Consider the following 13,894-nt stretch of genomic DNA (forward strand, 5'->3'; position numbering starts at 1 on the left):
AACTGTCTCTCTATGAATAGCTCACTGATGGCTGTGTTTTACTTAATCAATCAAAATAATGGGGTGTGGAGTCAGGGACTGAGAGACCAGAGTCCTTCGTCCACCTAAACTGCTCCCTGTATATGACAAAGACAGTTTTCAGCAGAATGAACAGAAATAGAGCCGTGGAGGGAAGTGGCTTGGATGTCATGAAAATTTCATGTGTTTCTGATGCATGCAGGATGCAATGTGGGGAAGTGGGTGAGCCAGAAGGCCCTGGGGACAGTTTTCGAAATGAATCAAGTCCTCAGCTTCTTCCTGCAACAACCAGCCCCTCCCTTGAAGCTCTTAGTATAAAGTCTGACAAACGTGGAGCCACCTAATCAACTTGCCCGTTGTCTCTTTAAAAGACCTCCTCTCCTGACTTTCCTCTGGTGAAAAGAGCAGAGTGGTAATCAGACAGAAAGGTCACATTATACCAAGAAATGTGGCTGTTGGAAGAGAGCCCACACACCCACGCCCATCTGGATTTGTGTGTTGGACACGTTTTCTTCTTGTATTTCATTAATAACAAAGAAAGCATGGCCACCTTCAGAAAAACGCACTTGCTAATACCCCAGTGAAGCTTAGCCCACTCAATTGGAACAGCAGAGGCAACCCTCTCTGAGCTGAAGATTGGGGTTTGCCAAAAACTGCCTTACACTACAAGGCTCATCCTTGATCACTTTGATCCCTCCTGTCCTATCTTTCCAGGAATACCTGCAGGTCTCCAATTAACCAGAATGAAGAAACAGGGCCGAGGGCAGTGGCTCATGCCTGTAATCGCAGCACTTTGGGAAGCTGAGGCGGGCAGATCGCTTGAGTCCAGGAGTTTGAAACCAGCCTGGGAAACATGGTGAAACCCCGTCTCTACAAAAAATACAAAAATTTGTCAGGCATGGTGGCACGCACCTGTAGTCCCAGCTACTTGGGAAGCTGAGGTGGGAGGATCGCTTGAACCTAGGAAATGAAGCTTGCAGTGAGCCAGAATTGAGTCACAGCACTCCAGGCTGGGCAACAGAGTAAGACTTTGTCTCAAAAAAATAAAATAAAATAAAATAAAACTCAGGGGATGGTCCTAAGTACACAGTGGTAATCTCAGGATGCTGGCTTCGTCTGGTTCATTCCCAAACCTCCCTTAGGCTCCTATATCCTTTAAACAGTGTGCCCCTATATATTTCCAACAGAGTGGCTACTTTATAGGCAATGGTATAAGTAGTTGGGGCTGGGGTCATTTACCCATTTTGGAATATTGGGGGATGTTCTGTAGCTGCAGGGATTTAGGGCTAGAGAAAGGCCTTGTCTTTCTCTGGGCTGGATAGTATTTGCAAGCTTCCACTAGACAATGTGGATGGAGACTAAGCCCTCAATATTCCAACTCAGGCCAGACACAGTGGCTCACACCTGTAAACCCAGCACTTTGGGAGGCCAAGGTGGGCAGATTACTTGAGGCCAGGAGTTCGAGACCAGCCTGGCCAACATGGTGAAATCCCATCTCTACTAAAAATACAAAAATTAGCTGGGTGTGGTGGCACGTGCCTGTAATCCCAGCTACTTGGGAGGCTGAAGTATGGGAATCGCTTGAGCTTGGGAGGCGGAGGTTGCAGCAAGCTGAGATCGTGCAACTGCACTCCTGTCTGGGCGACAGAGCAACACTCCATCTCAAAAAAAAAAAAAAAAAAAAAAAAAGAAAAAGAAAGAAAGAAAAAATTCCAACCCAAGTCTCAAGAGACGGAGAAGTAAAATAAGAAATATCTTCCAATTGTTGTAAAGCCTTGTCTCTGTAACCACAAAAATCTGGTAAATTCAAATAATCAGTTCTGTTTTCTTTTTATTCTCAGTGTTTACATGCACAAGTAATAACATCACTACATTAACTCTGTAAACAGTTACAATATTATAAATAAGGTTAAAAGTATCATTCACCATCATCCCAAACCAGTTTTACTCCAGAAGTAACAACTGGTCACTATATAGTTATTAACTAAACTAACTAAATAGTTAATAACTAACAAAATAGTTACAAAACAGTTATTAACTATTTAGTGTGAGTCCTTCCATATTCCCACTTCTACGCACAACTAGCAAATGAAAAAATTTGGAATCAAATCCAGGAAAATTTGGTTTCAAAGTCTTTTCATTTTACCTCTACACATTTTTTTCTACACCAAATTTAACCGCTGTGTGAACACAGGCTCTTAAACCCTTTGCCAAGGAGCATAAGGAAGTGCTTGCGGTATGCCAGGCACAGACGTGGCATCGTTGTCTGGGGTAAATACTCGAGGTTTGCTGTCTCACGCCAGGGAAATCGAGGACGCAGACACACAAGAAATGAGTTTAAGAGCAGAGGTTTCATAGGCGAAAGAAAGAGAAAAGAGAATAGCTCTCTTTCTTGCAGAGAGAGAGGAGCTCCCAAGTGGGACTTCCAGCTCCATGGTGAAATGCACGGGGTTTTATAGAAAAGCTTGAGGAGGCGGTGTCTGATTCACATAGAGCCCGAGAGATCAGTCGGACCAGGTATGACGTTTGCATAGTATGCAAAGAAGCTGGCCATCCCACCCTAATCTCTTACTAGCAGATCGGTTCTCTACCTGGCGGGTGCCGTGTTGTCTGTTCCTTACTGTACACGTGGTTGACAAAGAAAAGGGAAGATGGAGCCACCATGTTGAACATGCCTGGCCCTCAGGTAGCCTTTTCCTATTGACACAGCTGCTGGCATTCACCCGTGCAAGCTTCTAGCTTGCCTTTCTATGTCTGCAGCTTGATTTTACAGGCTTCTCTTTGTTAGAAAGGAAATGATTTGGGGGCTGCCTTTTATTAAAAGGGAAACCTTACCAAGGACTCTCTTACCCTCACTATCTGCCTAAATAATTTCTTTCTAGCTCCTGTATCAGCACTAAACCAAGAACCTCAATTAATCTTTACAGCAACATCATGAGGGCCAGTGTAATTGGTTCCATTTTTGCAGGTCCACAGACTGAGGCTCAAGAAAATTAGGTAACTGGTCATAGAGCTAATAAGCATCAGGGATAGGATTGGAACCCAGGTCTGTCCATGCTCTTAACAAACATGGTGCCTGCCTCCCCAGACACAGCTGAAATTTGCTGTCCCTCCAACAGTTGTAAGTGGATTGGTGAAATTGTTTTTGTTTTTGTTTTTGCGAAGATCCTCAAGGCACAAGCCTATATAGTATCACAAGCAAAGCCCTATGCACAGGCCAAGATTGACACAGGCTTGTCAAGACAGCAGGCAGTGAGCCTGTTGGATATGTGCAGAGAGCCAGACCCATAGACGAATCTTCCCTCTGTACATGGTGGGTAAGCCACCCATCTAAGATGTTGATAACAATCAATGCTCAGCCCAGGGCCAACACATTCTGGTGGGTCTGGGACAAGAGGGCAAGGTCATCAGACGACAGCTTTATTCAGTAGTTCTCCACTCATTCTGGAAGCCCCCAGCTCGGCCTGGCTTGGTTTTACCAGGCAGAGGCCAATTCCAGCATTGAAGAGGAGAAGAAAAAAAGAAAACACTAGGAGCTCATGCCAGACCTTTGCTAGGAAGCTAAAAATAGTTGTTGCTGCGGAAGGCCACAGATCATGAAACACATATGCCAACATAATAACCGTGTATAAAATCACCCCATGTGGGGTGTCCTCCAAACCACTCACAATTAAGCTTAAGTGATGATATATAGAACATCATTTTCCAGGTGGAGGACACTCAAATGTTTTGTGGCCTGGACACCCAGGAGATGTTGAAAGGGCTAGACTGGACTGAAGCCAGGGCTTGCATCTGGAGCCATGGGCAGCCTTACTGCCATCCATGAAGTTGATTGGGTACCCACGAGGTCCACAACACTGTTCTGCACTTTGTTGGGTTACAGGAACAAAAAGGAAGCATGCCATGGCATGGCAGAGGTGGGTAAGCTTCTTATCTAATCCTCATAGCAACTCTGAAATAGACACTCTAATAATCATATAATGCCTGGCACATAATGGGTCTCAATGCAATGTTACTTAGACCCAGGGCTTTCTTGAAAGTATGTATGGTGAAATGTGCAAACAGATCAGATGAAGATTTAATTGCCATAGTCATACACAGTAATTCACCTGCAGATGGTAACTGATGTGTGGGAGATGCTAAATATGGAAAGGCGATGACTGGTTTGAACTGATTCAGGGAAGCTACTGGAGGTAGGGTAGCCCTTTGGCCATGACTTAAAAGTTAAGTAAGCAGAAGCCTCAACACCCTGCTTGGATATAAAGCAAAGCTACCATTGAGAATACCCAGCAGGCGAAATGCAGATGTTAATTAAATATAGATGTGCATATACATACAGATGTGTACAGTGGACAATTGAAGGTCAAGCCCAACTCAGTGGTTACTAAAGTGTTTGTGTGGGGGTGCAGGCAAGAAAGTATCTCAATGCCTCTATCTCTGAAATGGGCACAAATGGAATCAGATTGTGGAGCGGGACTGCAAGAAGTCTTCTAGTTCATCCCTCACACACACATTCTCTAAGAGATGGCCAAGTGTCTCAGAGGCTTTTTCAAGATTTTTCAGTATTAGATATAAATCCCTTGGAAGCAGTTTTGTTTTACATTCTTAAGAGGACAACCACAGTTGGGTGGGAACAGTCATGTGTGCTAGAAGCAGCTCATACTGAACCTATTGTATTCATCTCCTTCCAACTCTTGGTCGGAATTTGGTGATCTCATATTGGTAGAGTAAAATCAGCCATGATGGGAATATTTACACCATGGGAATTGGCAAACACTGTAAATCAGGGCCTTTCCTTCTCCCCTGGAGAGCAGATTGTTAAGCATTTGCCAGCGTTTGGTGGGAAATGAATATCAAGAAAGTATAGTGAGAACCTGACGTCGTAATATCTCAGAGTTGGAAGGGATTTTAGGTCTTCTCTTACCCAACCCCAGATTTGGTGCTAGAATTCTTCTCCCAGGAGTTTCTCTGAGGATGGGGCAGTTACTAACAGCAGATGGTGAAATGATTTTTCAGTGTTACATAGACATTAACATGAAATCGCATAGCAGAAAAGGTACTTGTTTTTAAATTCTCTTTTGTCCTTTTTTATTATGCAAAGGAGAAAGTCTCAATTTAGTGCTATTCAATTTTTAACACCTCTCTAAGGACTTGTTGCTCTTCCTTTTAACAGAAAGGGCAGGCCTCAGGCTCAGAGCCTTGTGAAGATTAGTGCCTAGCTGTAATTGAATAGCTTCTTTTGTTTTTATTGTATTTACTTTTATAGTTACTTTCTATTTGTGACATGCAGGAATGGCTTTCTTCTTACAGTGATAGTAGTAAGTTTACTTTTTATCACGTTTCTAAAATGAGCTCAATTAGAGACAAATATTAAGTAAATTATAATAAAATTAGTGTAGAGAGATGGCAAATATCCTGAAGGTGGTTTGTGAATGACCAACACGTCTGGAACACAGACGTACCCTAGATCAGGCAGACTTTGCCTGAATATGCCCAGTGACAGGGAGGTCACCACTCGGTAAGGCACTTCTGTTACGGTAATCAGTGAAACACTTCATTTGAATTAACAGGGACTTTTGTTTCTTCCTCCCCATGACCAGCACCATATTTAAATTAAGTGTATTTCCTACAATATTCTCTTATTGGGCCAAAACTACTCAGTCTGCAAGGTCTCCAGTTTCTATTCTTGGTTTGCCTTTGGCTCAATATCTCCATTAATTGTCATGGGCTTAGGGTCTTTATGATGAACTGAGCCATGATGACCTTTAAAGTCGAATTCTGTCCTTGGTGTGTCAACATTTCTCCAATTGAAGCTGTTCTCCCTATACAAGAGGAATTGGAGTCTGTGGTTGCCAAGCAAACGTGGCAGGATAATTTGTTTCTGTGCCTTAAATCTCTGGAATTACTGTCTCTAGCTCCCTATCTTTGTCCTTTGGAAAACCAGATCCTCAGTGTGATATCCTGATACTCAGACTCAGTGGTAGTAATCACTGCTCCCTACTGTGGCCTTCCTGTGCACCAGGCACCAAACTGACAGCTTCCCATGCATCCTCTCACTTACACCTCATGACAACCCCAGTGGCACCTGCTATTGCCACCCCATTCTAAGGACGAGGAAGCTGGAGCTCAGAGAGTCGAAGTCACTCAAGGTCTCCTGGCCAGCAAGCAGTGGAGTCTGGACTCTTAGATCTGTGGCCCCAAAGTCTCAGTGCTCCAAACTTATGAGAAGGATTTCTTATCTCAGACCCTAAGATCTACAATGGAAAGTTGAAGCAGGTGACATGGGGAGGTGCCTGTGCTACAACCAGAGACCCTTTAAGGAAAATTCTTGTTTTCTAAAGTCAGAAGAATGTGCAGTAAGTGAGCACAAAGCAGGCTGGCTCTTTGCAGGCATCTGACACCTTCTCATGACCTTCCTATCTTTATCGTTAGTGCTTGAGAGAGAGAGATAAGGCGGGGCAGGGGCAGAGCCAGGGAGAAACCCTACTTGACCCCATCCAGGCAAATGCATACCTCTCTTCTCCTTCCACAAACATGAAGCTGATTTTCATGTGCTTTAGCCACGAAACTTTTAGCCACAAAAACTCTTTCCCTTGTCAATGTTCAGTAATTAAAATTTTCTCAAAACCTGCAAATGAGCTTCACAGCAGTCTTTAGCGTTTTACCATGAGGCAGAGATATGTCTTCCAGGCCTTTTTTTGACATTAATCCATTCAGCAGACTTGGCCTGATGCTCGGCTGTGTGACAGCCAGCGCACTGGTCACTGTGGGTACAGGGAAGCACGATGAGCACCATTTCTGCCCTCTGTCTTCATCCCAATAAGTCCTGACACAGAAGGGGAACAGGGTACAAAAGTTCTGTGGGAGCACCTAACTGATGAAGGGGTGGAGGGAAAAGTATTCGTAACAGGGGGAAGAGCATCTGTGAAGGCCCTGAGTCATGAGACAGCAGGAGCTCAAGGAGGCCCAGTATGGCCTGTACTACTGGGCTGGCCCATCACAGGCATTCAGAACAGTGGGAATGAATGAATGAATGAATGAATGAATAAGCAGAGTGTAATGGGGCACACTGGGAGATGAGGATGGAGATACACACTTAGGCTGATTCATGAAGTCTTTGAAGTCTGTTATGAGGAATTTTGACCTTGAGCCTAACTGTGAGGGGAGGCCATGGACGCATTCTACACAATAGTGATGTGATTATGTTTCATGTTTCCCCAAACATGCCGGGCCACCAAGCTGTGACTATCTCACCACCCACCCATCCCAATACACTCAATGTGAATACAAAGCTTTACTTCTCTCCTTTGCTCCCAAAGAGATGAGGTGCTGAAAATGCAGCAGACCCAGGGTAATTGGAGATCTACTGATGGCGGAACCTCTTTGTGCTTGCCTGTTAGCCATGTTCTTGAAGCTGGTCTTGCAGGCATAACCCTGGGTGGCCACTGCACTGGAAATTAAATTAATTAAAGAAATTAAATAATTGATCAAAAGTCTGGAAGTGATTGGATGAATAGAGATTTAAATCCAGATCTGGGCTGGGATCAGTGGCCCACACCTATAATCCCAGCACTTTGGGAAGCCAAGGCGGGAGAATTACTTGAGCCCAGGAGTTCAAGACCAACCTGGGCAACAGTGAGATTCTATCTCTACAAAAATAAAATTAAAAATATATTATCCAGATCTGCTTTTGCTTCTATAGCATCTCTTTCTGGATGTTCTAGAGAAGTCTTCTCGCCCCACCCATATTTCCTATTTCAGAGACAGGAAGCTATACCGACCACATGGTCCCACCCTCCAGGCTACAGATGATTGGACCAAAGGGAAACACCTGATACAAGCTGAACCAATCAGATTTCCTTATCTGGAACTTGGACTTTAGACACTGAAAGACGGATCCAGATAGCCACAGAGTATGGAGATGAGGGCCCCATAAACTCTAGGGCCGCGACAGCTATGATGGGCTGTGTGCGAGAGCAGAAGGAGCCAGGATAGAGAAAGAATAAAGAAACGAGTGTGCAGAAAATAGCATATCTGAGCATTCATGCCTTTTGAGAGCTCAAGAGACACAGCAAGTAGCTGAGCTGTCCTGTCACTGGATACCATGAGATTTCCTACATTTTTAAAAACTTGAGCTGAATGAACCTGTTTCTTTCTGCCCACCACAGATACCTGAATAAAACGCAATCTAGACAACACAAGAGACCTTCAAGAGGGCATGTTCATGAGATGGGTGAGCGTGTTATAAGCTGATGAAAAGACTTGGGGTGTCCATGGGTTTCTTTGTAATATCTCTGCCTAGCCACTTTAAAGAGACAGACCTAGGCCGGGCGCGGTGGCTCACGCCTGTAATCCCAGCACTTTGAGAGGCCGAGGCGGGCGGATCACGAGGTCAGGAGATTGAGACCATCCTGGCTAACACGGTGAAACCCCATCTCTATTAAAAATACAAAAAATTAGCCGGGCGTGGTGGCGGGCGCCTATAGTTCCAACTACTTGGGAGGCTGAGGCAGGAGAATGGTTGTGACCCAGGAGGTGGAGCTTGCAGTGAGCTGACATCGTGCCACTACACTCCAGCCTAGGGGACAGAGCAAGACTCCATCTCAAAAAAAAAAAGAGAGAGAGAGAGACAGAGCTAAGATATTGTGCAGCCAAGGGAGAGTGAAGGCAGAAAGGTGTCAAAGCACAGGGCTGCAAAATGAAAGATGCTTCATTAGGGGTTTGGCATCTGCTTCTTAAGAAAAGAAGAGGAGCACAGCTCAGGCCTTCTTCCTCCCTGCAGCTTCACCACTAATAAAGGCAGCTGGGTGATGAGTTTCTGTATCTGGCAAATCTACTTCATTTTCCATCCCTCTGTCGACTGCAATGTAAGACAGCTCAAGAAGAAATTAATACTTGGAGTCAGTGTCAGCCCCACTGACAGCAGATCAAGGCTGAAAGACAAATTGCTCATCACAGTTCAGGGAGCCGGAGCTGGGAGAAGACAGACCTGCCATTCCCTGCGAGCTCCGGGCCGCTCCCACTGGTGGCTAACTTTACAAGGGACCCATCCTGGCTTCTGCCTACCTGTGAAGTCTGCAGAGAGCTGCAAGGGGCTGGTCCTGGGAGAGCAACTTGTTGGACATCCTTAGGGCCCCTTAATGACCCTGTGTTTGCAGCATGTCACCATGTCACTGGTATGACCAAGCCTAATGCCCTAGAAAAGCTATTTCTGGGCATCACCTGTCACCAGCTCATTCCAAGTCGTGGATTCTCAATTTTCTTTATGACACCTTGACCGCTTGGCCATGAAGGATATTGTGTTTTGTGGGTTGAGTTCTGCACAAGCTCCTGACCAAACATTGAGTGGGGGGGCTGATATCCAGCCCTTGCTTCACTGGCGAAACCATGTGCCCTGGCACGGGGCTGCATTCATTTGGAGAGAGGGTGGCTTTTTCTAATTTTTACAGAGGTGCTGCTTAGATTAATGAAGTCCTGGCAACATTGTGTTATAGAGCTATGGGCTTACTTGTTTATGGTCTGTGTCCCATAGGTAGAATATTGACTCCTTGAGGACAAGGACTGTGCTGGAAATATACCATTTGCCTCTCCAGAACCACTTGCCACCCTTCTCCTCCCTGCTCTGTGCCCCAGGAGAATGACAACTTAATGACCTCCCTTGCTCTCCAGCCTCCAGTTGGATTCAGCCAATAGAAAGCACTGCTGGGAGATCAAAGGTGATATGGTTTGGCTGTGTCCCCACCCACATCTCATCTTGAATTGTAGCTCCCATAATTCCCGTATGTGGTGGGAGGGACTTGATGGAAGATAATTGAATCATGGGGGCAGTTTCCCCCGTACTGTTATTGTGATAGTGAATAAGTCTCACGAGATCTGATGGTTTTATAAAGGGTTTCCCCCTTTCACTTGGCTCGCATTCTTTCTTGCCTGCTGCCACGTAAGACGTGCCTTTTGCCTTCCATCATGATTGTGAGGCCCAGCCATGTGGAACTATGAGTCCATTAAACCTCTTTTTTAAAAAATAAATTACCTAGTTTCAGGTATGTCTTTATAAATAGCCTGAAAACAGACTAATACAAAAGGGCAGGGAGATAGAAAGGTTGGAGTCTCTGTTCCCAGTCTCATTTTTGCTACATGGACTTGGTTGTTTGTGATTCTCTGGTCCTGGCTCCTGTCACACGGCCTCTCCCTACCACTAACCTCTTCACTGCCAGTCGCTGCTCCCCCTCCGTGCCCCTTCAGGGTGGTAACAGCTCCCTGCTGTTGCTAGCCCCAGGGGACTGCACCATCCCTTGTAGGGGGATCTATGCAAACAGTCTGTGCAAATAGTCCCTTTATTCAACTCCTCCTCCAATTCCCAGTTTGAGTGCACCATCTCTTTCCTACTCAGAGCCCAGTTAAGATATAGAGATGTTGCTTGGTTCATTGCTGTGTCCCCAGCTCCTAGAAGAATTTCCAGCACAGAACAACCACTAACCATTCAACCATTTATTTGTTGAATGAATAAATTATGATCCCTGAAGGCGGCAAGCCTTGGTTTTTTGTTGTTTTGTTAAGGACTCACTGGCATCCTCTTTATTCAGCCTTGCAGCTCGGCTGTTGGAAATCACTCATGAAGACCATTCCTCCCACCTCATCTGTCCATGTTCAGCAGTCCTCAAACCTCCCTGTTCTCATTTATTTCAGACAACAATTAGACCCTATTGGAAAAATTTTTCTTCTGCTCTTGCCCTGGGTAGGTTGCAGGGGTGGAGGGAAAAATAAGTGATACCCTTAGAGAAGCATCATTTTTGATTTCTGAAAACCAATATTTTTCCTGCCATTCTTCTTTTCTTTACACCCATTTGTCAGACTCAGTCTCCTAAATTAGTGCTAGAGGGTGCTTGCTGACCAGGGTAATTCCACTCTAAGAAAAAAAAAAAAAAGCAACCAGTAACAGTGAGCTGTTTAGTCTGGGGAGCCATGGTGCGGTCGCACCAAAGGTGCACATCTTTAGGAGTAGCCGTCTGAGGGCTGCTGGGCATAATGACCAGGTGGCAGCATTCCAGCCTTGGAAAATGTGTAGTATTTTCTCTCCAGGGTTTTGCAGAAATGACACTGTCAGAGAAAACAATGATTTAATGGCCACATGACAGGAGCCTTAAGACTAATGGTACCCAACTCAGAAAAATGTAGGAGACAACTGGAAGGCAATTACGAAACAGTCCGTGCCTACAACTCAGTCATTACCAACCGAGCATTGCGAGGAAGCCTCTCTCCTTTGGAAGGTCAAATTCTTATGGTTCCAAGTGATTAGGAGCAGAGCCGGTGCTGGAAAACACAGGGTGGATATTTCTATGGAGAATTCTCCAGAATTGTGTACATCACACAGAGTACTCCATCCTCCTCCCCTCTTCCCCCTCAACTCTCTCTCTCTCTCTCCCTCCCTCCCCCTCTGTCTCTCTCACACACACACACACACACACACACACACACACACACACACTCTCCAATTAAAATGTTTCAGCTCTTCCACTTTCCAAACCCAGTCCTCACAAAGCTTTGTTTACGCAGGCTAGGCAAAGTGACATTGCCTACTTGACAAGTAGCTTTTGATTAAAAACACTGAACTCTGCCCGAGTAATTGTGCCACACACATGAAAATCATTTGAGGATCTGAAGAGAAGTTCCTCTTTGCCCCCAGGAAACCTGAAATATTGTGTTTTTCTAAACAACAACAACAACAAAAAAAACCTCTGTCTTGCACGGTTTGAACAAAACTTACATCTGTGCATTCTAGTATTTGCTAGATTTTTCTACAATGAGCATGTGGGCTATTTTCCAAACATTATCTTTTTATGACAAAGCCCTAAATTCACTCATTTGTGTTGCTAAAAGGACAAATGCCATACATAAAAAAGCACAAGTTTCTCTTAATTCTCACCCCCTGCCCATCTCCCAGCTCCAGAGGTAAATGCTTTTATGTATATGATGTGATTCCTCCCACCCCCTTTTTCTATAGGTATGAATGTATATATATATGAATCTTTACACATTTTATTTTAAGGATTATTTTGTTTTTCATAAATGGGATTATACCATATGTATTTATTTCACAACTTCTTAAAACTTAAATGTCTTAGAGATCTTGGAGATGTTGGGATCAGCACATAAAAATTTACCTAATTGCTTTTAACGGCTGCCTCAAATTCCATAGTGTTACTGAATCACAGTTTATTTCCCTAGGTCCCCTCTGACGCACATTTCAGGTTACTCTTAATGTCTCACGATTACATGCAATGCTATAATAAAATACTTGTACATTGCCTATTTGGACACATAAGGCCCCATTTCTATATGGGAGAGATAATTATATCAGTTAAGATACTTTTGGCTGCAAATAAAAGAAGATCCCAGTGGCTAAGCAATAAGGGTTTTATTTTCTCATGTTAAGGTGAACTCTGAAGGTTAGAGCAGCACAAAGGTGGTTAATTCATCGGCTCAATGTCATCATCCTGGAGCCAGGTGCTTTCTTTCCATCTTTCTGGTCTGCTTCTCTCAGAGAGTTGGGAATGCCTCCCCCAGAGATCACATGATGGCTGGAGATGTTCTAGGTGACATGTGCAGACATGCCTCTTCAGCAGTCCTTGGATCCCCTTGGCCAGGATTGAGCTGCAAACTCACACATACACCTGCCACTGGCAAGAGGAATGAGATGACCGTGACTGTCATGGACCAATTGTGATTCCTTCTCTTGTTCTTGGAGGAAGAAAGTGAGAGGAAACAGATTTTATTAATCAAATAAACCTCCAGAAAATTTGTACCAAATCACAGCCTACTTGAATATCCAAGTACCAGTTACTTCGCATCTTCATCCACCCTTTAATAAGGCATTTAAGTTTCTGCCAGTGTGATGGGCAAAGAGGACATGTTGTTGTTTTCTTGTACCTACCTGATTGTCAAGATTGAGGATCATCTATATATTCATTGTTTATTTATATTTTCTCTTTGGAGAATTACCTTATTTGTATTATTTGCCCTATTTTCTACTAGGTAGTTTGCTCTCTTTTCATTGATTTGCAAAGTTTCTATATGTACATCTTGGAAACACATATAATCAAGACATTTTAAAAGGTTCTTAAGAATAAACACTTAAATTATGTATCTTTGTTCTTACTTTGATTCTCAAGTGCTTCTATAACAGTTTGGGGAGCAGAAGAAAATCCATTTCGTGGAATAGGTTATGGTGACATGCTTTCTAAATGGTGTGCTTCAGAACAAAAGTTCCTAGACAGATGTTAAAATGCAACTGGAAAACACTGCACAAAATTTCCTACTTTTAGAGTATCACCATGTACAAACAGCATAGGGATCAGCTCTGTTTTGATCATGACCACTACCTTTCTTGTGATCTCATACCATCATTTGCCCTCTCTGAGTCTTACTTCACTCATTATAAAATAGTCCCCTTTCTTGGCTCTTCCCATGCTCATGCACATTCATGGCTTCCCACAGTAGCACCTGTGGCTCTCTGTCTGTGGTCTGGGGCAGTTCAGAAGGGACAAGAAAGGCAATGCCTTAAGGAGCATCCCTTTACCAATGGCAGACAAATGATAACACATAAGTACCTCAGTTGCCTTGCCTTCAGATGCAACAATTCTGAGACATCTTCTATATCAAGAGTCAACAAACTACAGTTCACCAGCCAAATCTGGCTGACCACTTGTTTTTATAAATAAAGTTATACTGGAACACAGCCACGCCCATTTCTTTACATATGGTCTATGGTTGCCTTCATACTACAAGGGCAGAGTTGTACAAGAGACTGTATACCCCCAAAAGCCTAGTATTTATGGTGTGGCCCTTTCTAGACAAGTTTGCTGACTCCAACTCTATA

General features: G+C 44.1%; 1 protein-coding gene and 1 long non-coding RNA gene across 9 annotated transcripts in view, besides 1 other annotated feature; one reads left to right on the forward strand and one right to left on the reverse strand.

The window, feature by feature from the left end:
• Positions 1–13,894, forward strand: part of CCDC60 (coiled-coil domain containing 60) — a 206,312-nt gene that overhangs the window by 40,844 nt on the left and 151,574 nt on the right. The window lies entirely within an intron of this gene.
• Positions 274–333: an enhancer, noted in NCBI's record as "active region_7114". NCBI's record gives its function as "activates an Ori minimal core promoter by ATAC-STARR-seq in GM12878 lymphoblastoid cells {active_cell/tissue: GM12878}" and the evidence as "EXISTENCE:reporter gene assay evidence [ECO:0000049][PMID:35858748]".
• PRKAB1-AS1 (PRKAB1, TMEM233 and CCDC60 antisense RNA 1) overlaps positions 12,415–13,894 on the reverse strand; it is a 280,141-nt gene continuing 278,661 nt past the window's right edge. For 2 of the 4 annotated variants that reach the window (NR_188494.1, NR_188489.1), the window contains exon 3: positions 12,415–12,695. This is a non-coding gene — a long non-coding RNA (PRKAB1, TMEM233 and CCDC60 antisense RNA 1). Of the gene's footprint in view, positions 12,757–13,894 lie in introns of all 4 variants that reach the window. The other 2 variants (NR_188492.1, NR_188490.1) reach the window with 1 other exon arrangement.

Source organism: Homo sapiens, chromosome 12 (genome assembly GCF_000001405.40).
Source record: "Homo sapiens chromosome 12, GRCh38.p14 Primary Assembly".
Classification (NCBI taxonomy): domain Eukaryota; kingdom Metazoa; phylum Chordata; class Mammalia; order Primates; family Hominidae; genus Homo; species Homo sapiens.